Genomic DNA, 23,649 nt, shown 5'->3' with positions numbered 1-23,649 from the left:
GCCCCAGCCTGTGGAATCACAATGTTAAGTATCAGAGGTTAAGAATACATTTCATTGCTTTTGGTATAGAAGTTGTTGGTTTTGTCAATTTTGGCTTCCCAGCTGACTTTTTATTCTATGTAAAGAATTTGTCTTTTGTACAGAGCTTGCATGCATTTTCAATTGCTGAATTTGCACACTTAGTTGATAACACTGAAAATGATCCATCTATGTAAAACAGCAAAAGTCAACCCATGTTCACATTCACAGCTGAAATTATACCTCTTCTCAAATTATGCCTATTGTCCCATCATTCATACACAATTATGTGCTACTCTTTATTCTGGTATGACAGATTTTATTTATCTTTGGGTTGCACCTCTTGAAAATTGTTTTTAATGTAACAATAGCTGCATTAGCAACAGTAACAATAAACTCTCTCTGGTTCCATTCTTTCACCCCTGTGTCCATCATCAATTCTTCCACCCCAATCTTGGAACTCACTCTCTACAAACACTCCTCTGGAGCCTCTCTTCTTCAGTCTTCCAGCATTGCTCCCTCCTAGGTTTTCTTATGATATTTTACATTGGGATAAATGAAATATTGATAGTTCTCCCCTTCCAATTGCACTTTAAGCTCTGTATTAATTAGGGGCCTGCCACAAATAGAATTCACTCACATGGTTGAACAGAAGAAATTTTAATGAAGGCTATACAGCATGCTTTAGTGCAGGTTTAAAGGAAGTTGAGGTAGACACTAGCAAAGTGAGCAGCTATTGGCACATGTGGGTCTGGAGGAGCAAGTGGGGAAAATGGTGTTACTGAATCACAGAGAGGTCTGGAGCCACAGAAAATGGGCTGCTGGGCAGAAGCTGTACCTGTGGAAAGAGGCTGTGATCATCATAGCCAGCCTCAGAGATGGAGGGCACTTGGGCTGCTGGAGAAGGGATGAGAATGGATCTGACCCGTGGGAACAGCAAGTGGAGAAGAACCAGGACAATATATCATTCATCTTTGAATCCCCAGTGTCTAGCATGGTGCCCAGCACTGAGTAGAAGGTTAGCAAATGCTTTTAAAACTGAACAGAACTGAAAGAGATCTCAGAGCTCAACAGGCTTAGCTCCCATATTTTATAGAGGAGAGCACTGGAATTAAGAGATATCAAGATGACTTACTGAAGGCCATGCTAGCAGCTAGTGGCTAAAGGAACATGGAGGAGTCTCTGGATTCCACATCCAGGGCTCCCTCTATGCCACCTGCTATGCCGTGGCCAGTGCTGGTCTCGATTATTTTCCTCATCTCATGCCTCTGCTCCTCATATATTCATCTCAGGCTTCTTCATTCTGTGGTCCTTCTTCTCACTCTCACACCTGGAACAGCTTTCCTTTCCTTCCTGTTCTCAATCACACACATTACTGAGCACCAGATCTGAGTGTATCAGGTAATGCACTCATTCCTAGACTCAGAACTGAGGAAGACCGTGCCAGCTGCCACATTCTGTTCCCATCTGTTCCTTTGTACCAGCCCTTCCCTGTGCTTGGAATGGATTTAATCTCTTTGACCCCCTGGTCAACTTCTGTCCACCACTCAAGGCTCGACTGTTGGTCCCCGCCTTCTGAGAAGTAGCCTTGACACCCTCCACCCTCTTCCCTGGCTTTGAACTCATTGCAAGCTATTCTGTATGCAAGTCTTGCTCCTTTACTTAAAGATGAGCTCTCAAACTCTAGCTTGATTTCTCTCACATAGTGAGTGACCGAATAGAAGCTGAATGAATGGGTCCATATAGGAGCTGCATTTGAGACCATTTCCTTCCTCTTTCTCCTTCCATTGTTACACTCTCAGAAGATCAACACATTCCATTTTTAGTGGCGTCTCTGCTGATTGTGGAGCACCTATGACAAAAGCTACTGTATTCCCCATTTGACAGGTGTAGACACTGCGCTGCAGAGTAAACCAGCTTGCCCAAGGTCTCGTGGCCCAGGGGTTTGTGCTGAAATTTGACTGTAAGACTGCCTGACTCTGAACATATTAACCATGCTGCATTGTTTCATATGCTTGATGTTTATAAGAATATATTATTTTATTACTTTAACATTGAAATAATTAAAATGATATATGAAGAGCCTTTTCTTCTCCAACTCACACTCATCTCTTCTGCTGTAAATGTAGGCAGCTGCCTTTCACTGCATTTTTTTTATGGCACCTAGATGCTTACCAAGCCCCTTGCTAAATTACTTTCAAACATTAAAGGAAATACCATGTTTTATATTTTCTTAAATTACATTTGGTACCTATATGTACACAGCAGATTTTATGATCTTGTGATATTGGCAAGAGATTGAAATCTCTGTTTTTGAAAGACAGCCAGATTGAGCTTGGTGCAATTAAGCAATCCACCCAAGGTCTCACAGTGAATAGTGGCATAATTTTGACTACAACTATGAGAAAAAATTGGAAGTAAACACAATTTGTTTCTTGATCTCCTTATCTCAGTATCAGACCTTTCCAGGTTTCAAGTAAACATTGAATGAAGCTGTGAGGTGTGGTCCCTCCTAGGACAAAATGCATTTTTTATGGGTATTTTTAAGACTGAAAAAACATTAAAACTCAAAAGTGTTAAACCACAATGGTGGAAACAGAACGACAGGTAATTCCATCAGTAATTTGGGCAGCAACCAGCTGCTAGTGTTGTGGAGTGATAACATAGGCTTTCCTAATAATAAGATCCAAGTTTCTCCAATTATCTGATTTCTTAGTAACCTCCGAGGGGATGATGATGATCCCAGTTTCCACTCTTGATTCTCTCTTCCTGCCTCTGTCTGGATGTACACAGGTGCTGAGGGGTGACCTCCAAAGTAAACTCAGGACTGCATATGGTCTAACCCAAGAGACCTAGCTTGACTTGGGCTTGGAGGAGACATGAAGCACAGTCCTGCAGGAGCAAACTGCAGTGTGGACAAAGTTTACTTCAATAGTTTGATCCTGACTGTGACTCATATTTTATGTGGAAGACAAACCCAGAGATAAGGTATTTGATAAGAACTTGCTTTGATATATTCCGAAACTGTAGTTGGTTATATAATTCCAGGAAAAGCAAAGGGACTCTTCAGGTTTTCTGATGTGTGTATCCTTAGATTGAGAGAGAGAGAGCAAGAGAGAAAAGTCAAGTCATTTTTGATCAGTACTCCTCTGGTCCTTTGAGGTATTATATTGCCATTTTGGTGGGTCTCTGACAGCTGTGTCAGACACCAAGTCAGCTGGTGCTATGCTAGGATGATGCATCTGTGAAAACTCACAGAGGGGGTTCCCAACCATACCTCTGGAGCCGTGGACACTCAGGATTGGTTGCTGTGTGGGGAGGACAAGGGAGTCTGACGTGGCTGGAGCAGGAAAGGGTTTATATGCAGGTGTGAGCTATCACTGACTTGCTGGCCTGTTTGTTCTCTGTGGCATGTGCATTTTGTCTTTCTTTCCCTTAATATTTTAAGTGATTTCTTGTGTATATTCTGTCCCTGAAACTGCCACAACACTAAGCTTATTTTTCCATATCTCACCTGTACTTCACATTACTAGGTATTAGAAAATAATAAAAATACAGGCACTGGTGTTTATTTACTCAGCTTGGTTACTGCCTTAATGCTTTTCGGGGCTTGTCCTTTATTTATTTGCATTTCCCTCCTGTCATTTTTTATGTCGTTGTTTTAGCATCTAGCAAACTATCCTGCACACTTGTAGGATATATACTAAGAAGAAAATGGTAAATATGCTCTTAATTGCTGTTTTCATATTTAAGTGCTATCCCTCCATCATTGCACTACAATGGTGTATCTGCAGACTATGGCTATGGTTATCACTAGTTACATGGACAGAGCAGAGATTTGTGGGCTAGAAGCCAATTTCCAACAATGTCCACACCTTCTCTGGGACTCCAGATTCCTGGAGTACAGACAGCAACTTTTGCTTCATTATATACAGCTTAAACCTCTCAGAGTGCTGTTTTATTTTGGTTTGGTTTTGATTTGGGAGGTTAGAGGAAGAGTCTAACTAAGATTATTATATTTTCTCAACCAACACGGTAAAATGCACTTTTTAAAAGTCAAAGACACATACTACTTTGTAAAAAGTGGGTTTCAATATTTGAAGTCATGAACTAAACTTTTAGGCATAAATGCAGGACTTTTTCATAGGCCTTGTTCAATTCTCAGATTATAATACAACATTTATTGAATGGCTCTTTTTATGCAAGGCAAGCAATTTATTTCTTATTATTTGATATCATTTCCTGAGGAGATGAGTTCTGTGCTTATAACCCAGATTGGGGGTTATCTTGCAGATGAGGTGCTGCAGATGCATGTAACCCAGATTGTAGGTTATCTCACAGACGAGATGTGAGTCATCTTGCAGATGAGATGCTGTGACACTAGGCAGGCATCTGATAGCAGACGGGAGTATCTACTCAGTGTAATGGGTCATTCTGTGCCTGGGAGTGAAAATTTGACATGTAGGGATAAGCTGTCAGTCCAGCAGGAAACCTGTTTTGAATTCTCTCTAGATTTTTAGAATTTTAAAATACGTTTTTCAGAGAAAGGTTAACCATGTTTATCCATTCTTATTTGCTCAACAAGTATTGACTGAACAATTTAATGTACAAAACAGGAATAGAGCAATGAATAAGATGGTCATTTTCTCCTGCTCTCATTGTTTACGTTCTAGTAGGAAAAACAGACATTCACAGAGATCTGAATACTTAATTATTGCATTCTAATTGCAATTGTCTTGAAGGTGAAACACTGAGTCGTATGAGAAAATATAATAGGAGACAGTGTATTCACAGAATTTCACAATTCTGAAAAAGTGACATTTAGACAGAAATAATGGTGAATGAAAAGAAATGAGCTAAGATGGTGGGGTGGGGATGGGGAGGAAGATTGTGATTCAGGCAAGGACATGACATGTGATAAGGTCCTGATGCATGCAGGTTTTAGGTTAAGGACCTAAAAGAAGGATAAAGTAGAGCTTAGTGGGTGCAAGGGAGAGTGGAATGAGATGAGGCTGATGAGGGCAGCTAGTCATGCGTTTTAACTTTTTTATTAGAACATCAGGAAACCAAAGACGTTTTTGAGCAGTGGCACAACACAATCAGATCTGTGTTTCAAGAAGAGGGGCTGGCTGCTGGTGGAAAGTGGGTTGAAAGGTGGTAAAGAATGAAGGGATAGCAGGAATGAAGCTACTTCAACAGTCTAAGCTAGAGATGAGGTGGTAGTTTCTTTGTGATTTAATGCTTTAAATGCCTACTGTATTTGGGGTGTTGGATCAGCACTAATTAGTACTAGCTAAGCTGTACATTTCCTGGCAGTTTCTCAGTGTTAAAGTGAGGGCACCCAGTCCTCCACACCAACTATGTATGTCTCAACTGGGTTTGTATTTAAGGATGGTATGTGTAATGCTATCTGTTTCCTTAGGGCTTAGAACCCTGTAAAATTGAAGGCAGCAGCTTCTATGAGCTCTGGCTTTTGTAAAAGGCAGTGAAAATTTGATTATTTAACAACCTTCTGGCTGCACCCATTCTTGCTCTTGTTATTTATTTATTTATTTTTGACAGTTAGCGTGCCATGCTTTGGAAATGCCATATCTGTTGTGCAATATCTGGGTGACTAATTGAGGCAGGGTTTCCCACACTAGGGGAAACACTCTCAGCTCATGGGGAACGTGCCAGCGTAAGGATCAAATGCATCCCAATCCTGTAGGTCAGGTGCCCTGTCTTCCTGATTGTGTGCCAGATGCTGCTGCTAATGATATGAGCTTCACAGTTCTGCTCCCAGAAGCTGCTGCTGAAGCGTCTGACTTGCGGCTCTCTAGATACGGAGGCCATCTCATAATGGGAAAGTCTTTTCACTTGGTCATTTATTACATTGCACCAGGTTTTCGCACCTTTTGGTAGTCTATAAGAAATGTTAAATAGTGGAAACTTTGGAGACAGACATATCTTGATTGTACTATGTGGAGCTCTGTAGCCTTGGGCATATTATTTAACCTCTGTGAACCTGATTTTCCTCACCTGTGAAAAGGAGATAATTATAACACTGGCCTTTTGAGATTCCCAAGGGAACTAAATGTGATGGTGTATATAAAGTGCCCTGCACACAATGTGGCTACCACACTGTAGGCATCTGATAACTATAAGTTTCCTTCCCTATATTAACCATGTAATAACTAGCTTGTCTGATGTCACACAAGGGGTCCAGAGTCTTTCTGCAGTATTGGGATAATCACCACATCTCCATATTTTGTAGCTGATTTGGTTGTTTCACTTGTCTATGCTGTTTCTCTTTTCTGAGGGCACAGATAACTAAATTTTCAGTAGAAGGATGAGGCAGGTAAGACTATAAGCTCTGAGTATACCTGACTATAACTTGTAGACAATTAGCAACATAATATATGCAGTCTGGTATTTGGTCTCGGACAAATGCATGAGATGATATGGTGTTGTTCTCAAATAGTTAAGAGAATGGATCCTTCATCTATGAATTTACTGAAACCTCATTTGAACCATTGATGATCACCTACTACATCTTTGGGTTAATAGGTCCATGAATGTCTTAACTACATTCAAAGAAGTGCTTTTCCATTGTGTTTCAACTTATCCTTTTGCTAACCTTAAATGGTGCTTCTCTGTTCTATTGTTTTTTTGAGTTGAGCAATAAATTGTTTTCACCTTAAACCCTTGTTTTCAGTTTAGGCAGCTGAGCCATAGTGAAAAAGCACTGGACCTGGGTTCAGAACATTGGTGCAGAGTCTCATTTCTGCCTCCTGCTTTTTGGATAGATGCCATTTCTTTGAGCCTCGGTTTTCTCATATGTGAAATGGTGATAATTCCACTCTGACCCCTTTCTGTTAGCTGTGAGGATCAAAGGGTATCATTGAAACTTTCATAACCTGTAAAGCACCATACAAAGGTTCTCCTCCAGTTCTACTGAATTAGAGTCTCTGGTGATGGGACCCAGACACCATTACTAAAAAAAAATTTAACAAAGTGATTCTTATGTGGAATAAAGTTTAAAATCCACTGCCCTATAAAAATACAGGATGACATCCCCATTGACAAATTACAGACATTATTTGTCTTAGATGGACTCAAATCATTTTGGTGATTTGATGAATCTGGTGTTCACTCCTGAATCTGGCTGTTCACTCGTTACCCCTTCAGTGATTACTTTCAGGCCTGCCATTGTCCTCGCCTGTATTATCTTTCCACAACCTGGTTCTCCAGCCACATCAGACTACCTGTAGTTGCCATTCACCGAAAGTCCCATTCACTTCCCTGCCTTTGTGATTCTGCTGAGTAATTTCTCGGGAGAATATTCTTACTGTAGTGCAGGGACCTGGCCTTCTTATAGCACTGATAGAGACATAGACATAGGCACATAGGAAGTGATCTTACGACCATTCAATTTATCTTCTGCTTTATAGAGGGAAACCTTGAGACCCAAAGAATGTCAGTGATTTTCCTGAGGTTACTCAGTTAACGGTAGAGTCAGTATTAGAATCCAGGTCTCCTGACTCTCAAGCCAGTGCTCTTTATACTATACATCCTTCTAAAAATACTAATTGAAGCCCGGCACGGTGGCTCACGCCTGTAATCCCAGCACTTTGGGAGGCCGAGGTAGGTGGATCACTTGAGGACAGGAGTTGGAGACCAGCTTGGCCAACATGGTGAAACCCCATCTCTACTAAAAATACGAAAATTAGCTGGGTGGGTGGTGCTCGCCTGTAATCCCAGCTACTTGGAGGCTGAGGCAGGAGAATTGCTTGAACCTGGGAGGTAGAGGTTGCAGTGAGCCGAGATCGGGCCACCACTCCAGCCCAGGTGACATAGCAAGACTCCGTCTCAAAAACATAAATAAAAAATAAAAATACTAATTGAGCACCTATTATACACTGGGCACTGTCGTGTAGTTGTGCTAATAAATAAATATGCAGGCAGTCTTATGTATCCCATGCAAAATTTAAGCAAGTGCTTGTAATTTAGCACTTGTAATTTTTAAAACGATCTTTTCTAGTATACTTAAACACATACTTAATCTTCAGATATTTTCAGGACAGTATACTTTCTCCTCTAGTGTGTCCTTCTACCACCCACAGCCCATGTGCATCTTCCTTGTACTCCACATCTTACCTGAGCTGCCTGAAGTCAGGGCTTCCCTCCAGAGATTGCGTTCACCCTCTTCCTCCAGTCTCAGAGCATGAGCAGGCTGCTTCGGGCCTATTTCCTTCATCTCAGTGCTCACGTTTGGCTGCCTCACTGTGGCTCCCTTTGGTCGCCACAGATAGTCTTTAGATGGATCCTTTAACTTCACATCTGATGTCCTGACATCTGTTCCTCAGGACCGTCATTTACCTGGGGTTTGTACTTGGTGTTTTACTTTGGGAGATATTTTTAAGTTGTGATCTGATACAAAGATTTTGTTAGAATTTACAAAGTATGTGCTTGGGCCAACATACCCAATCTAATCTTCAAAGTGTCCCTATTTACAGCTACAGAGCCATGCAGCAATCTGATTCTCAGCTAGCTCAAATTGCACCCAAAAACTCCTACTGAACATATAAAGTGTGCAGAGGGATAAGTGCAGAAAACTGCGATTCTCTTCTCTTCCTCTTTATTAAATTTGATTTAAGAGCAGAAATGCAGGGATTGGAAATGCTGATTACTAGAGAGTTCTTCCTGAAAATAAAAAGAGTGGCCCAAACTTCTCTATTTCACAACCCAGTATCTGAAGGACTACATGAAGCAAGATGAGCAAAGCTCATTGTCCTTTCAACATTTCCTCTGTTTCTCTGCATTTCTAAGGCCCCTTTATTTCCAGCCTATCAGCAACATCAGATTAGAATACAAACAATAGTGACGGATCAGTACTCTATGTCATAAGATCAAATATTAACTAAAGTCTATAGCAGCAAAGAAAAGTTAGCAAATCTATGATCTTCCTTGTTTCTAATGCCAGAGCCTATCATGTGTTGTTGAAAATAAAGTTCACTTTATGAAAATCACTAGAAATTGTAAGGAAATTATTATGTGTGAAATCTTTCAAGATCTGTATTTCCTTCTAGGGAATCAGAATTAGGCAAATATCGAATATTGATATAAACAAAGGATATACTATCTTAGGCTATTATTTACTTTTCCTTCTTGAAAGAACCATGCATTTAGTAGACATATATATTTTTGCTGTGGACATTAGTTACTGCTTGGTCTTTAGCTACTTCTTTCTTATGTGGCTAAAGACCTCGCCATCTCCCCTGCCTTTTAAGTCCAAAAAGCACGTATTGAGTATCTACAACATGCCAAGCGTGATTCTAGGTGCTGGGGATACCACAATGAACAAATGTGTTCCTGCTAGTGCAAGAGACAAAGACTGTACCTTTAAAAAGGTTTAATGAAATTGAAAAACTTTTGAAAGAAATGATGGAGAATAGAGGGAGTAAATGAAGTGAAAAGGAATTATGACCACACATTCTGCATTTATTAAAATATACTTTGTATACATATATACCATCAAATTAGAAAAAAACTAGATGAAATATATACACATAAATCTTTTTTTTTCTTTTTTTTCTTATACTTTAAGTTTTAGAGTACATGTGCACAACGTGCAGGTTCGTTACATATGTATACATGTGCCATGCTGGAGTGCTGCACCCATTAACTCGTCATTTAGCATTAGGTATATCTCCTAATGCTATCCCTCCCCCCTCCCTCCACCTCACAGCAGGCCCCGGTGTGTGATGTTCCCCTTCCTGTGTCCATGTGTTCTCATTGTTCAATTCCCACCTATGAGTGAGAACATGCAGTGTTTGGTTTTTTGTCCTTGCGATAGTTTGCTGAGAATGATGGTTTCCAGCTTCATCCATGTCCCTACAAAAGGACATGAACTCATCATTTTTTATGGCTGCATAGTATTCCATGGTGTGTATGTGCCACATTTTCTTAATCCAGTCTATCATTGTTGGACATTGGGTTGGTTCCAAGTCTTTGCTATTGTGAGTAGTGCCGCAGTAAACATATGTGTGCATGTGTCTTTATAGCAGCATGTATATATACACATAAATCTTTATAAAACTATACTAAAACTGACTAAACAGAGAAAAAGTCTGAATAATACTGTATTTTTTTTTTTTTTGAGATGGAGTCTTGCTCTCTCGCCCAGGCTGGAGTGCAGTGGTGTGATCTCGGCTCACTGCAAGCTCCGCCTCCTGGGTTCAAGCCATTCTCCTGCCTCAGCCTCCTGAGTAGCTGGAACTACAGGTGCTCGCCACCACGCCTGGCTAATTTTTTGTATTTTTAGTAGAGACAGGGTTTCACCATGTTAGCCAGGATGGTCTGGGTTTCCTGACCTCGTGATCCGCCCGCCTCGGCCTCCCAAAGTGCTGGAATTACAGGTGTGAGCCACTGCACCCAGCAATACTGTAACTTTTAAAGGAATTGAACTAATTACTTAAAGTCTTCCTACAATGAAAACATCATCGCCACTAGTCTTAGAGGTGAGCTCTACCAATCATTTAAGGAACAGGTAATTTCAAACTTTCAGGTAATAAAAAAGAGGAAATACTTCCACCTTATTTCATGATGTGGGTAAAAATTTGGTGTCAAAACCAGATTAGGACAGACAAAAAAAGGAAATTACATAGCAGTTTTGCTTATGAACAAATATAAAAGTGCTAAATGAAAATGTTAGCAAAATGAATCCACAGTATATTAACAAAATATAATAAATTATGATCAAGTTGGATATTTTCCAAAATGCAAGGGTGAGTTAATGTTAGAAAATATATTAATGTCATTCACTATCTTAAAGTGAACAAAAGTATGATTATCTTGATAAATACAGGAAAAGTACCTATAAAGTCGAACAACCATTCATGATAAAGATTTGTAGCTACCTAAGAATGCAAATTTCCTGAACCTGTTTGAGAGCAGCTAAAAAAGACCTTCAGCAAATATGATACTTAATGGCAAAGTGTTAAAAAATATTCTGTTTAGGATACAGAATAAGACAAAAATGTCAGGTATCACTGTCTTTATGCAAATTCTAAAGCAAGAAAAAATAAAAGGTATAAGGATTAGGAAAAAAGAACAAAAAGCCATTATTTGTGAATGATATAAATTTTTGCATAAAAATGAATAGAATCTACACAGTTTATGGTTGTATTTCAGGCATATTAAGGTCCTTGGATTCTCAAATGTACCCTGGTTGATGGAAAGGTTAAGGGTTAATATATGTTGAACCTTAACAGTCATCAGGTTCAGTGCTAGATTGCTTATTTAAAATAGTAATAACAATTGTTATTGCAGCTACCATTTATAGAACTCCAACTTCCCTGCTGAGAACTAGATACATTTTTACAGTGAATATCTCTAATCCTCACACATACTTCAAAGTACTATTCAAGGTACCATTATCCTTCTTTCACAGATGAGAAAACAGATTCAGAGAAGTAAGGTAACTTACGAAAGTTCACACAGCAAGAAAGTGGCTGAACTGGGATTTCAAAGAGGGACCGTTGGTCTCTGAGCCCATGTGCCTTACAGTACAGTTTTCCTAAGGTACAGAGCTCATGTTCTGCTGATGTCCTAGCTGCTCAATAAATATCTATGGACTGTTTCACCTGGAGGCAAGGTCAAACACCTGTCTCACAAAAGGATCAGGACTTCTTAAACATTAGAAGTCAGGGCCATTACAGCAGTTATTACTTTTCTTGTTCTACTGCTTTTCCTCCTGGGGCCAGAAGGGACTTTCTAGGGCGTTTATACTGCTCAGGCACTAGAAAGAAATGGAGCCATCTGCATTAGTTTGCTAGGGCTGCCACTACTAAATGCCACAGACTGAGTGGTTTAAACAACAGGAACTGATTTTCTCGCAGTTCTGGGGACTGGCAGTTCAAGATGAAGGTGTGGGCAGGCTTGGCTCTCCTGAGGACTCTCTCCTTGGCTTGCGGATTGCTGCCTTCTCGCCGTGTCTTCACAGGGTCATCCCTCTGTGTGTGCGCCTGTGTCCTAGTCCCTTCTTCTTATAAGGACACCAGTCATCGCTGATTAGGGACCACCTTAAGGCACCATTTTAACTCAACTACCTCCTTAGAGGCCCTGTCTCTAAATACAGTCACATTCTGAGGTACTGGGGTTTAAGACTTAAAAATGTGAATATTGGGAGAAACGATTCAGCTCATAACACCATCTCAGGAGAACAACAGGGTAGGTTTGCAGTCTCAGAGAGGTCGGGCACTTCAGAGTGTGTGTGGAGATGAGTCTGCACCCACAGCTGTCTGTGGACAGAGAACAGCAGCAGGCAGCGCTACCGGGCTCCACGAGCAGTTAACGTAGGGTGGTTACCACAAAGCTGCAGACTTCGAAGACCAGTCTTATGGGACTTCTTGTTGAAAAGGCAAATGCAAAGTCTGCTCTCCAGTGAGAAGCACAGGAGAAACCAACAGGATATCCCCTCATCCCCATTTTCCCTTCTTCTTTCAGGAACCTGCCAAGGCTTGCTGAGTGGGAGCTGTAAAACACCTACCCAGCTGGCCCTGCATTAGTCAATTCTGATAGGACAATAGAAACTTAGAAGCGGTCTCAAATTCCCAGATGGATTTGTACAATAATAAAACTTTGACATTTCATGAGAGTATTTTTAAGCCTGTGTTTTGGCATTGCAGGGGCCACAGAGAACAGAACATGGGACAAAAACCTGCATAATCGAGCTGTACTTATCTCTCCTACTGCCCTCCCCAATTCTTAGCCCCTCCCCATATTCCTTTCAGAAGAGAAACAGAGCTTTCTTTTTGGAAAATAAATCTAGAGGCAGCCTTGAATCCAATCCAAGGGCAATTTCCCAAAGAGCCAAGCCACCATTTAGTTCCTTCCCAACCCTTCAATTGAGTGAAAATGTTGCAAGCCACCTTTACCTGATACATTGAGACTGCAGGTCTCCAGGTTACTGCTGTGGTCATCACTTGAATTGCTATTGACTTTACATCTGGAATTGATGAACTTGTATATAGTTGCATTTTTTTAAACTGCCTTAGCATTGTACTCACAAAAAGGTTCACAAAGTGTGGGGGAATTGGGGCTGAGTAATAGAGTAAGGTCAGAATAATATCATTTTCGTATTATTTTCTAACCTCCCATCTCTGGAATACACCCACTTTTGTCATAATTCATTGTGTCTTTTGACTCAGGGCTAGATTCAGAATACAGCACGCCCCTGAATGTCACAATGATACTTAAAGCGTCACAATGATACTTAAATCATCACAATGATATTAGAAGGGAAATGGTTACACTTTCATTTGATGGAGAGGGCATGAAGGGCAGTTAACGTTTATCAAATATTTGCTGTATGCTTGGCACTATGCTACTAATTTTAAATTATTTTATATAAAATAACATGGTGTTGGCAACATGTATCACTAAGACATACCACCAACCCTGGTTCAAGGCTTGGAGCAAGTCACGTGAAATGCAGGGTCCATGATCCACTTACATTTTCATGTCTCCCCTTTTCCCACCTTACCCACTACAATGGACTGAATGTTAGTGTTGCCCCCCAAAAAATCCACATTTTGGAATTTTAATTCCAAATGTGAGGATATTAGGAAGTGGGGTCTCTTGGGAGGTAATTAGGTCATGAAGGTGAAACCCTCATGAATGGGATTAGTGCCTTGATGAAAGAGACTCCAGAGAGCTTTCTCACCCTCTTTCTACCATGTAAGGATACAAGAGAAGTCAACAGTCTGCAACCCAGGAGAGGACCCTCCAGAACATGATCATGCTGGCACCCTGATCTAGGATGTTTCATCTCTAGAACTGTGAAAAATACATTTCTTTTGTTGATAAGGCACACAGTCGATGGTGTTTTGTTAGAATAGCCTGAGCTAAGATACCCATGTTTCTCAAAGTTTTGCCTTTTGGTTGCAGAATATAATACCAAAAACTGTTATCTGCCTATTTAGTTCTGATTTACTGTTCACAATGAGGAAGCCGCTTGCTTAACCTGTTTTGTTCCCTCTAACACGAGCCTCTTGACCCCCCTTCTCCCCTTCCCCACTCACTCAGTCTTTCTTTACTGGGGATATCATGAGGATTGCGTGAACACTTTATTGACAGAACTTTAGTTCCTTGGAATTAAAGTTCTTTCAATATATAAGGAATAATAATTGTGTCTGTGAAATTTGTTCACTCAGAAATAACCTCTGAAAAGTCATTGGTTGGTATCTTTCTGTCTCTGCCAAACAGGTTACTTCTCCATGCCTCAGTTTTCCATATCTATAAACTGGGAATAATGATACTTATGACATAGGGTTAGAGAAGATTAAGAGAGGTCTCATATGTGAAGCAGTTAGAACAGTGCCTTGTGCATTTTAAGTGCTACATGTGAGTTTGATATAACATATTTTTACTGCTGCTGCCAGATGTGAGACATGCAATTTAATATCACATTGTTTGCCACAATACACAGTACCAGTGTAAATGTGTTATCTTGAATTAAAGCTTTGCAAGTAAAGATCAGATATTTTATTAGAAAAAATTTAACTCAGTGGGGACCTTTTTAGGACCACAGGCATGGTGGTCATACCTCAGTCACTCTTGAAAATAGTTCTTAAAATAGACACTCTTTATTATTTTTTTCTTTCCAATTTTTATTTTAGGTTCAAGGGGTACAGGTACAGATTTGTTACATGGATAAATTGTTCATTGTGGGAGTTTGGCGTACAGATTATTTCATCACCTAGGTAATCAGCATAATACCCGCTGGGTAGTTTTACAATCCTCACCCTCCTGCCACCCTCCACCCTCAAACAGGGCCCAGTGTCTATTGTTCTCTTTGTGTCCATGTATACTCAATGGGTAGCTCCCACTTCTAAGTGAGAATATGTGGTATTTGGTTTTCTGTTCCTGCATTAATTCGCTTAGGATAATGGCCTCCAGCGGCATCCATGTTGCTACAAAGGACATGATCTCATTTTTTATAGCTGCCTAGTATTCCATGGTGTATATGTACCACATTTTCTTGATCCAATCTACTGTTGGTGGGCATTTAGATTAATTCTATGACTTTTCTATTGTGAATAGTGCCAGGACAAACGTATGCATGCATGTGTCTTTGTGGTGGAACCATTTATATTCCTTCAGGTATATACCCAGTGATGGGGTTGCTAGGTCAAATGGTAGTTCTTGAAGTTGTTTGAGAAGTCTTCAGATGGTTTTCCACAGCAGCTGAACTAATTTACATTCCCACTAGCAGTGTGTATGTGTTCCCTTTTCTCTGCAACCTCACCGGCCTCTGTTATTTTTTGACTTTTGAGTAATAGCCATTCTGACTGATGTGAGATGGTATTTCATTGTGGTTTTGATTTGCATTTCCCTAATGATTACTGATGTTCAGCATTTCTTCATATGCTTGTCAGCTGTGTGTATGTCTTTTTTTGAGAAGTATGTTCATGTCCTTTGCCCCTTCTTTTTAAATGGGGTTTTTTTTTTTGCTTGTTGATTTGAGTTTCTTACAAATGCCAGATATTAGTCCTTTGTCAGAGGCATAGTTTGTAAATATATTCTCCCATTCTGTAGGTTGTCTGTTTACTCTGTTGATAGTTGCTTTTGCTGTGCAGAAGCTCTTTAGTTTAATTAGGTCCCACTAGTCAATTTTTGTTGCAATTGCTTTTGGAGTCTTTGTCATGAAGTCTTCGCCTGGGACAATGTCCAGAATGGTATTTCCCAGATTTTATTCTAGGATCTTTATAGTTTTAGGTTTTACATTTGAGCCTTTAATTCATCTTGTGTTGATTTTTGTATATGGTGAAAGGAAGGGGTACAGTTTCAGTCTTTTGCATATGTCTAGTCAGTTATTCCAGGAGCATTTATTGAATGGAGAGTCCTTTTCCCTTTGCTTGTTTCTGTCAGCTTTGTCAAAAATCAGATAGTTATAGTGCATAGCATAATTCCTGTGTTCTCTATTCTGTTCCATTGGTCTATGTGTCTGTTTTTGTACCAGTACCATGCTGTTTTAGTTACTGTAGCCTTGTAGTACAGTTTGGAGTCAGGTAATACTATGCCTCCAGCTTTGTTCTTTTTGCTTAGGATTGCTTTGGCTAGTTGGGCTCCTTTTTGCTTCCAAATAAATTTTATGTATTTTTTTCCCAATTCTGTAAAAAATTTTATTATTAGTTTGATGAGAATGGTATTGAATCTGTAAATAGCTTTGGGCAGTATGGCCATTTTTTACAATACTGATTCTTCCTATCCATGAGCATGGAGTATTTTCCCATTTGTTTGTGTCATCTCTGATTTCTCTTAGCAGTGTTTTATAATTCTCATTGTAGAGATCTTTCACCTGCCTAATTAGCTGTATTCTTAGATATTTTATTCTTTTTGTGGCTATTGTGAATAGGATCACATTCTTTTTTTTTTTTTTTTGAGATGGAGTCTTGCTCTGTTGCCCAGGCCGGATTGCAGTGGCACGATCTTGGCTCACTGCAAGCTCCGCCTCCTGGGTTCATGCCATTCTCCTGCCTCTGCCTCCTGAGTAGCTGGGACTACAGGCCCCCACCACCATGCCCGGCTAATTTTTTGTATTTTTAGTAGAGACGGGGTTTCACCGTGTTAGCCAGGATGGTCTCCATCTCCTGACCTCGTGATCCGCCCGCCTCGGCTTCCCAAAGTGCTGGGATTACAGGCGTGAGCCACCATGCCCAGCTGATCACATTCTTGATTTGGCCCTCAGCTTGGACCTTATTGGTGTATAGAAATGCTACTGATTTTTGTACATTGATTCTGTATCTTGAAACTTTGCTGCAGTTGTTTATCAGATCTTGGAACATTTGGGCAGACACGGGGGTTTTCTAGGTATAATGTTATATCATCTGTGAAGAGAGATAGTTTTCCTATTTGGATGCCTTTTATTTCTTTCTCTTGCCTGATTGCTCTGGCTAGGTCTTCCAGTACTATGTTGAATAAGAGTGGTGAGAGTGGACGTCCTTGTTTTTTTCTGGTTTTTAAGGGGAATGCTTCCAGGTTTTGTCCATTCAGTGTGATGTTGGCTGTGGGTTTGCCATAGACTGCTGTTATTATTTTGAGGTATGTACTTTTGATGCCTAGTTTGTTGAGGGTTTTTAAACATGAAAGGATGTTCAATTTTATCAGAAGCCTGTTCTGCATCTGTTGAGATGATCATGTGGTTTTTGTTTTTAGTTCTCTTAAGTGATGAATCATGTTTATTGATTTGTGTTGTTGAATCAATCTTGCATCTCAGAAATAAAGCCTGTTTGATCGTGGTGGATTAGCTTTTTGATGTGCTGCTGGATTCCGGTTGCTAGTATTTTGTTGAGGATTTTTGCATCTATGTTCATCAGAGATACTGGTCTGAAGTTTTCTTTATTGTGTCTTCGCCAGGTTTTGGCATCAGAATGATGATAACCTTTAAAAGGTGTTGTGAATTTGAAAACCACCTCTACTGATAGGCCTTCCTTGTCCACTCTCTCTAACGAAGCCAGCCAGTATCACTCTACCAAATCCTTCCATTTCATTATCTATGTAGTACTTTTCACAATCCTGTATTTTTCTTGTTTGTTACTATCTGGATCCACTTTTGGAATGCAGTCTACCTTGTTTTCTGCTGTGTCCACAGGGCCTCAAACAGTGATGAACACAGAGTAAGTTTTAATGGTTAGTTGTTACATGAATGTGTTTATAGAAAGGCAGACAAATGATAGTAACCCCACTAACAGCTGACTGGTTTGGATTAGATTGTGATATTTGAAAGAATCAAAGCTCTTGCTGATGGTGGCAGACATTTCAAGTTTTTCCCATGAATTCACAATGATATAAGACTGAACTTATTTCTGACTGCCATTGTAATGCACAGTGTATTATCAGCTCACTAAAATATGCTTTCATTTTCTTGTAATTAATATTGAGTAGGGCAGTAGCACCAGAAACAGTGCAAAGCACTGCAGAAGCGGGAGTAAACTGGTAAAAGGGCTAACATTTATGGAGCACTTATTATATGTCATGAATACTTGTGTAAATTTTTCTGCTTGGATATTACCCAATTTATTGATCTATTCTTCTTTTGATGAACATTTCCTGTTTATACTGATTAACATTTTAACTCATGTCTCCTCGTGCACACATGCAATCATTTCTCTTAGGGTATTGGTTCTTAATTTGTGGTCCTTGAACAAGAGCTTAACCTCCATTAGATTACTGAGTCAGAATCTCTGTGGATTGGACCCAGGATCTGGGTTTTAATAAGCTCTCCAGGTGATCATGATGCACATTAGAACCACCTGGAGAGCTTTTAACAAAACCTAGGGTTTGAGCCCTACCCAAGAACAATTACGTCATGATCTTGCAGGATGGGGCGCTGTGATTCTGTGGTGTTGCCAGAGTTGAGAGCTATGGCTATCAGTTACATAAGTAAAAGTTGGATTTTCAGGTCCTAGGGGATGGGGTTGTTAAATTTTACTAAGTGAATTCAAATTGCTTTTACCAAATGGTTGTTCTGATTTATGCTCCCACCAGCTCTTGATGAGTATTCTTGTTGGTCCACGTCTTTACCAAAACTTGTATTGACTTTTTAATTATCGGTGTTTTGATAGGTGTGAGATGGTAAAATTTTAATTTGTGTTTGTTTGATTAGTAATGAGATTGAGCATCTTTTTGTATGTTTAAAGGCCACCAATAATTTTTTATTCTGTGAAATGCCTGTTCATGGTCTTCTGCTATTTTTTCCTACTAAATTGTCTTCTTATTGATTTGTGGTAATTCTTTATTTGTCCTGGATACTAATTCTTTGTTCATTATGTACAGTGGAACTTTTCTATATTTTGGCTTTTTATTTTCAAGAGGAGGTACTTTTATTAACAGAAATTGTAAATTTTAAGTAACTGAATGGTTTTTTTGTCCTATTAGTGTTTGTGGCTTTCTTTCTTTTTTTTTTTTTTTTTGGTATCCTGTTTGAGAAGTCTTTCCATATCCAAAGTTCAAAAGAGATTCTTCTACACTTTCTTCTAAAAGTCAGACTTTTACCTTACACATTTAAGTACTTAATCCATTAGTGGTCTGAAGTAGGTCTCTGTTTTCGCTTATTTTTCTTATGGATTAACAACTATTAACTAATTGTTTACTAATTAACCTATCTTTTCCTTACCAAACTACCATGCCGACTTTGTTTACGTATTTGTTTTAGATAAATGCATGGGTCTGTTTCTAAACTATCTATTCTATTGGTCAATTTGTTTACCCAAGAGCTAGTACTTCATTATTTTACTTATTATAAATTATGGATTATAATCAGCCCTGACCCATGGTAGAGCAAATGCAACTACTTAGTTTTTCTCCAAGAACATCTTGCATTTCTTTTCTTTTTCTTTTTTCAGAGACTGGGTCTTGCTCTGTCACCTAGGCTGGGGTATAGTGGTATGATCATAGCTTACTGCAGCCTTGACTTTCTGGGCTCAAGTAATCCTCCTGTCTCAACCTCCCAAATAGCTGAGATTACAGGCATGCACCACCACATCTGGTTAATTTTTTAAATTTTTTGTGAAAACGAGGTTTTGCTTTGTTGAACAGGCTGGTCTTGAACTGGCCTCAAGTGATCCTCCCACCTCAGCCTCCCAAAATGGTGGGATTACAGGTATGAACCACCATGCCCAGTCACATCTTGCACTTCAGTGGCTTAACAATTAGCTTGTCAGGTACCATGAAAAGTATTGCTAGAATTCTGATGAAAAAATGCATTGAATCTTTAGTTCAATTTGTGAATGTAGATCAACTCTAATAATGTTGAACCTCCTATTTAATGAGGATAGTATGGCTCTGTTTAGGAGTTCTTTAATGTCTTTTCATACAGTCTTACATTTTTCTACATACAGTCCTTCCAAAATTTCTGTTGGATTTGTCTGAATTTCTTATATTTTTGTCGTTAGTATAAATAGTATCTTTACTTTTTAGCTGCAATTTCTAACTGCTGGCATCTGTATATGAAAATGAAATCGATTTCTGAATTAATCTTATGTGTGGCAACTAATATAAATTCTTTTATTAATTCCAATAATATTTTATAGATTATTTTGAATTTTCGATGCAAACAATTACATCATCTGTAAATAATTGTTTTCTTTCTAACCCTTATACTGTGTGTGTGTGTGTGTGTGTGTGTGTGTGTGCATGTTTTGCTTTACTACTTACTGGGACATTAAGTTGCATAAAAGTAGCATAAATGTAGTAATAGTGAACCTTTGCCTTGTTCCTGATTTTAAAGGCACTGATGTTTTCAACATTTTATCATTGAGAAATATATTTGTGGCAGGGTTTTTTGTTATTTTTTCTTCTGTTGTTCTCTGTTTTTAGCTAGTCTTGAGCAGTTTAAGAAAGTTCCCTGCCATTCCTAGTTAGCTAAGAAATTTATCTTCTGTGGTTGAATTTCATCAGTTATTACTTCTGCTTGTTTTGAGATAATTATTCAGGGTTTCTCCCCACCTTTAGTCCATTAATAGGTTGAATTACCTTAATACAATTTCTAATGTTGACTTAACTTTGCATTCTTAGAATACACCCCCACCTGGTCATGATTCATTTTCTCTTTTTACATTGAGCAATCAGTTTTTCTAATGTTTTTGTTGAGGATATTTTTACTTTATTTTCACCGGTCAGATCACCATGTAATTTTTCTTTCTTGTACTGTTCTGTGTCATGTTGGTATTAAGGCTTTACTCACCTCACAAAATATTTTAGGAGAGTAGACCATTTGCTACTCTCTGAAAAGCTGGTATAAGATGGTGCCTCATGCCTGTAATCCCAGCACTTTGGGAGGCCGAGGTGGGCGGATCATGAGGTCAGGAGATCAAGACCATCCTGGCTGGCACGGTGAAACCCCATCTCCACTAAAAATACAAAAAATTAGCCGGGCATGGTGGTGGGCACCTCTAGTCCCAGCTACTCAGGAGGCTGAGGCAGGAGAATGGCATGAACCCAGGAGGCGGAGCTTGCAGTGAGCCGAGATTGCGCCACTGCACTCTGCCTGGGCGACACAGCGAGACCCAGTCTCAAAAAAAAAAAAAAAAAAAAAAAAAGGAAATTATCTGCTTCTTAAGGTTTGCTAGGATTCTCCTCTAAAATAATGTGTCTTGATACTTTATTTTTGTAAAGATTTTGCTTTTGCTCATTTTACTGAAATATCACATATACCCAGAAAAGTTTAGCATTCAGTGAATTATTATAAATTGAGCACACCCCTTTAACTAGCACCCAGATCGAGAATCCAAACACTGCCAGCACCAGAGAATTGGGCTGCCATACCCTCTTACAGTCCTCCCTCAATCATAGTTTGAAGTAACCTGAGTTTTAACACCAGGTATTTTTAGTTTCGCCTGTTTTTAAACTTTACATTAATGAAATTATATAGTTTGCATAAGTCAAGATGTTTTGAGAACTCACAAATTTCTTTAATGCCTATGGAGCTATTCTGACTTTTTCTTCTTTATCTTCTCTTTGATAATGTATATTTTTGCTCACTAAGTTTTCAAATTTGTGTGTGTACAGCTGTTCAAAGTATTTTTTTAATCAATGCAGTATCAGTGGTTAAGTTTCCATTTTATTTCTTCCATTTATTTTAAAAGATCAGTTTTGTTAAAAGTTTGTCTATTTTTATTAGTCTTTTAAAAAGCCAGCTTTTGACTTTCTTTGCTGTATAGTTTCTATTACGTTAAATTCTGTTCGATATATTTTTCTCTCTACTTTCTTTAGGTTTATTCTATTGCCATTTTTGTCTCATTAATTTTAACTGTATTTTCTGCATAAAGATAATTCTAAAATGAGGTTTTCTAAGTACCATTTTAGCTGCATCCAAAGGGTTAAGGAGTAATTTTATTATAATTTAGTTCTGTGTTTCCCCTCCACCATTCTCATCTCATTAATTTTAACTGTGTCTTCTTTTTTACATATTTAAAGATACTTTTAAAATGAGCTTTTCTATATATCATTTTATCTGCATCCAAAGGGTTTTATTAAGGAGTATTTTTATTATAATTTAGTTTTATGCTTCCCCTCCCCCAAATTTCGTTATATGTTCTTTGACATATGATGTGTTAAGACTTTTTTTTTCCAAAATAGAATTATCTTTTGGATTTCTAATTTTATCATGAATATATGCAGGCTGTATAATACTGAAACTGCAAAATTTGGGGACTTGCTTTGAGACCTAGAATGTATTTAATTTTTTTTAAAATGGTTTATGTCTACGTATGTAGCATGTCTGTTTTCCGATTGTTGATTGCGGTGTCCTAAATACTATATTCACTAGATTTATCTTTTCAGTTGTGTCAGTTAATCTCTATCCTTACTGTAATCGTGAGAATGGGTTGGTTACGCAGCAGTAACAAACTCACAATTAAGTTTATTTTTGGCTCATGTTCCATATTATCTTTATTGAGGAACCAGCCTGACAGAGGATCCCATTCTTTGCTCTCAGCAGGGAAAAGACTTCTGCAATCTCACCCCAGTCACTAAATGCTTTTGTCTGGAAGCAGCACATATACTTTCTGCTCATATTTCACTGGCCAAAGCAAGTCATATAGCCACAAAAGCCCCATCTAACTTCAAGAGGGAGAAAAGTATTTTCCCGCCATGTACTATGAAGGAGTAATTTTTGTGAATAACACAAGTGACTGCCACGCTTTCTGATTTATTGGGTTCACTATGTCTATTGACTACTGAGAAAAGGGGTTTAAATCTCCATATCATGATGATAGAATCATGATATTCTTATATATTATTACATTTTTTCTTCATATAGTGTAAAACTATATTATTGAGTTGCTATAAGTTAAAATTCTACAACTTTCAGGGAGAATTGTATAGTGATCATCTTTGCTTTTCAAAATGTTCTTGCTTTAAATCCCATTTTGTTTGTTATTAATAGATACCTTTGCCATTTGGTGAGCTTCATAGCTGCCTGGCATATAGCTCCCGTCTTTCTGTTTTCAATGTTTTTATATCCTTTTGTTTTAAGTGTATATCTTGTTAAAAAGTAATTAAAAAAACTATTCTTGGATTGTTTTATTGTCCTAAAAATCTCTACCCTTCAAGAGAAAGTGTATTTCATGTACATTGACGGGTTTTGCTGGTATGTTTAGAATTTTTCTACCACCTAATTTTGTTTTCTATTCATCTAGCCATTCCTTCTTTTTTTCTTAATTCTATTCTCCCTCCCTCTTCCATCTTTCCCCCATTTTCCTGTTTGTTTTCTTTTCTTTTTCTCCTCCTTCCCTTCCTCCTTTCCTTTCTGACTACCTGTCTTCTTTGCTTTGTTTTGGATTGATTGAGATCTTTTTGTTTTTTTAAAATGTATTACGTTTTCTCCATTAGTTTGGGAGTACATAGTATTTTAATCTTTTAGTGTTTACTGTATTTATTTTAGCATGCATATATGCTAACAAAGTATGAATTTAACAATCTTGTAACCGTACTCTTGACTAATAAAAGGATCTCAATACCTTGATAGTCAAAGTTTGAGTCATTAACCAGCAGCCTGGATATATCTGGGAAGTTTATAGAGATAGACAATTTCCACCCTAGACCTACTGACTAAGAATCTACATTTTATCAAGATCCCCTAGTAAC

The 23,649-nt window shown here is 38.6% G+C and overlaps 1 long non-coding RNA gene across 1 annotated transcript in view, besides 1 other annotated feature; it reads left to right on the top strand.

The window, feature by feature from the left end:
- LOC105370777 (uncharacterized) overlaps positions 1-23,649 on the top strand; it is a 556,255-nt gene that overhangs the window by 23,999 nt on the left and 508,607 nt on the right. The gene's annotated exons all lie outside the window — the stretch shown is intronic.
- Positions 2,800-3,094: an enhancer, noted in NCBI's record as "tiled region #6993; HepG2 Activating DNase unmatched - State 8:EnhW". NCBI's record gives its function as "activates a minimal TATA promoter and a strong SV40 promoter by Sharpr-MPRA in HepG2 cells {active_cell/tissue: HepG2}" and the evidence as "EXISTENCE:reporter gene assay evidence [ECO:0000049][PMID:27701403]".

Source organism: Homo sapiens, chromosome 15, assembly GCF_000001405.40.
Source record: "Homo sapiens chromosome 15, GRCh38.p14 Primary Assembly".
In the NCBI taxonomy this organism is placed as follows: Eukaryota; Metazoa; Chordata; class Mammalia; order Primates; family Hominidae; genus Homo; species Homo sapiens.
The sequence above is the reverse complement of the archived record's forward strand: the minus strand, read 5'-3'. Positions and strand labels throughout refer to the sequence as shown.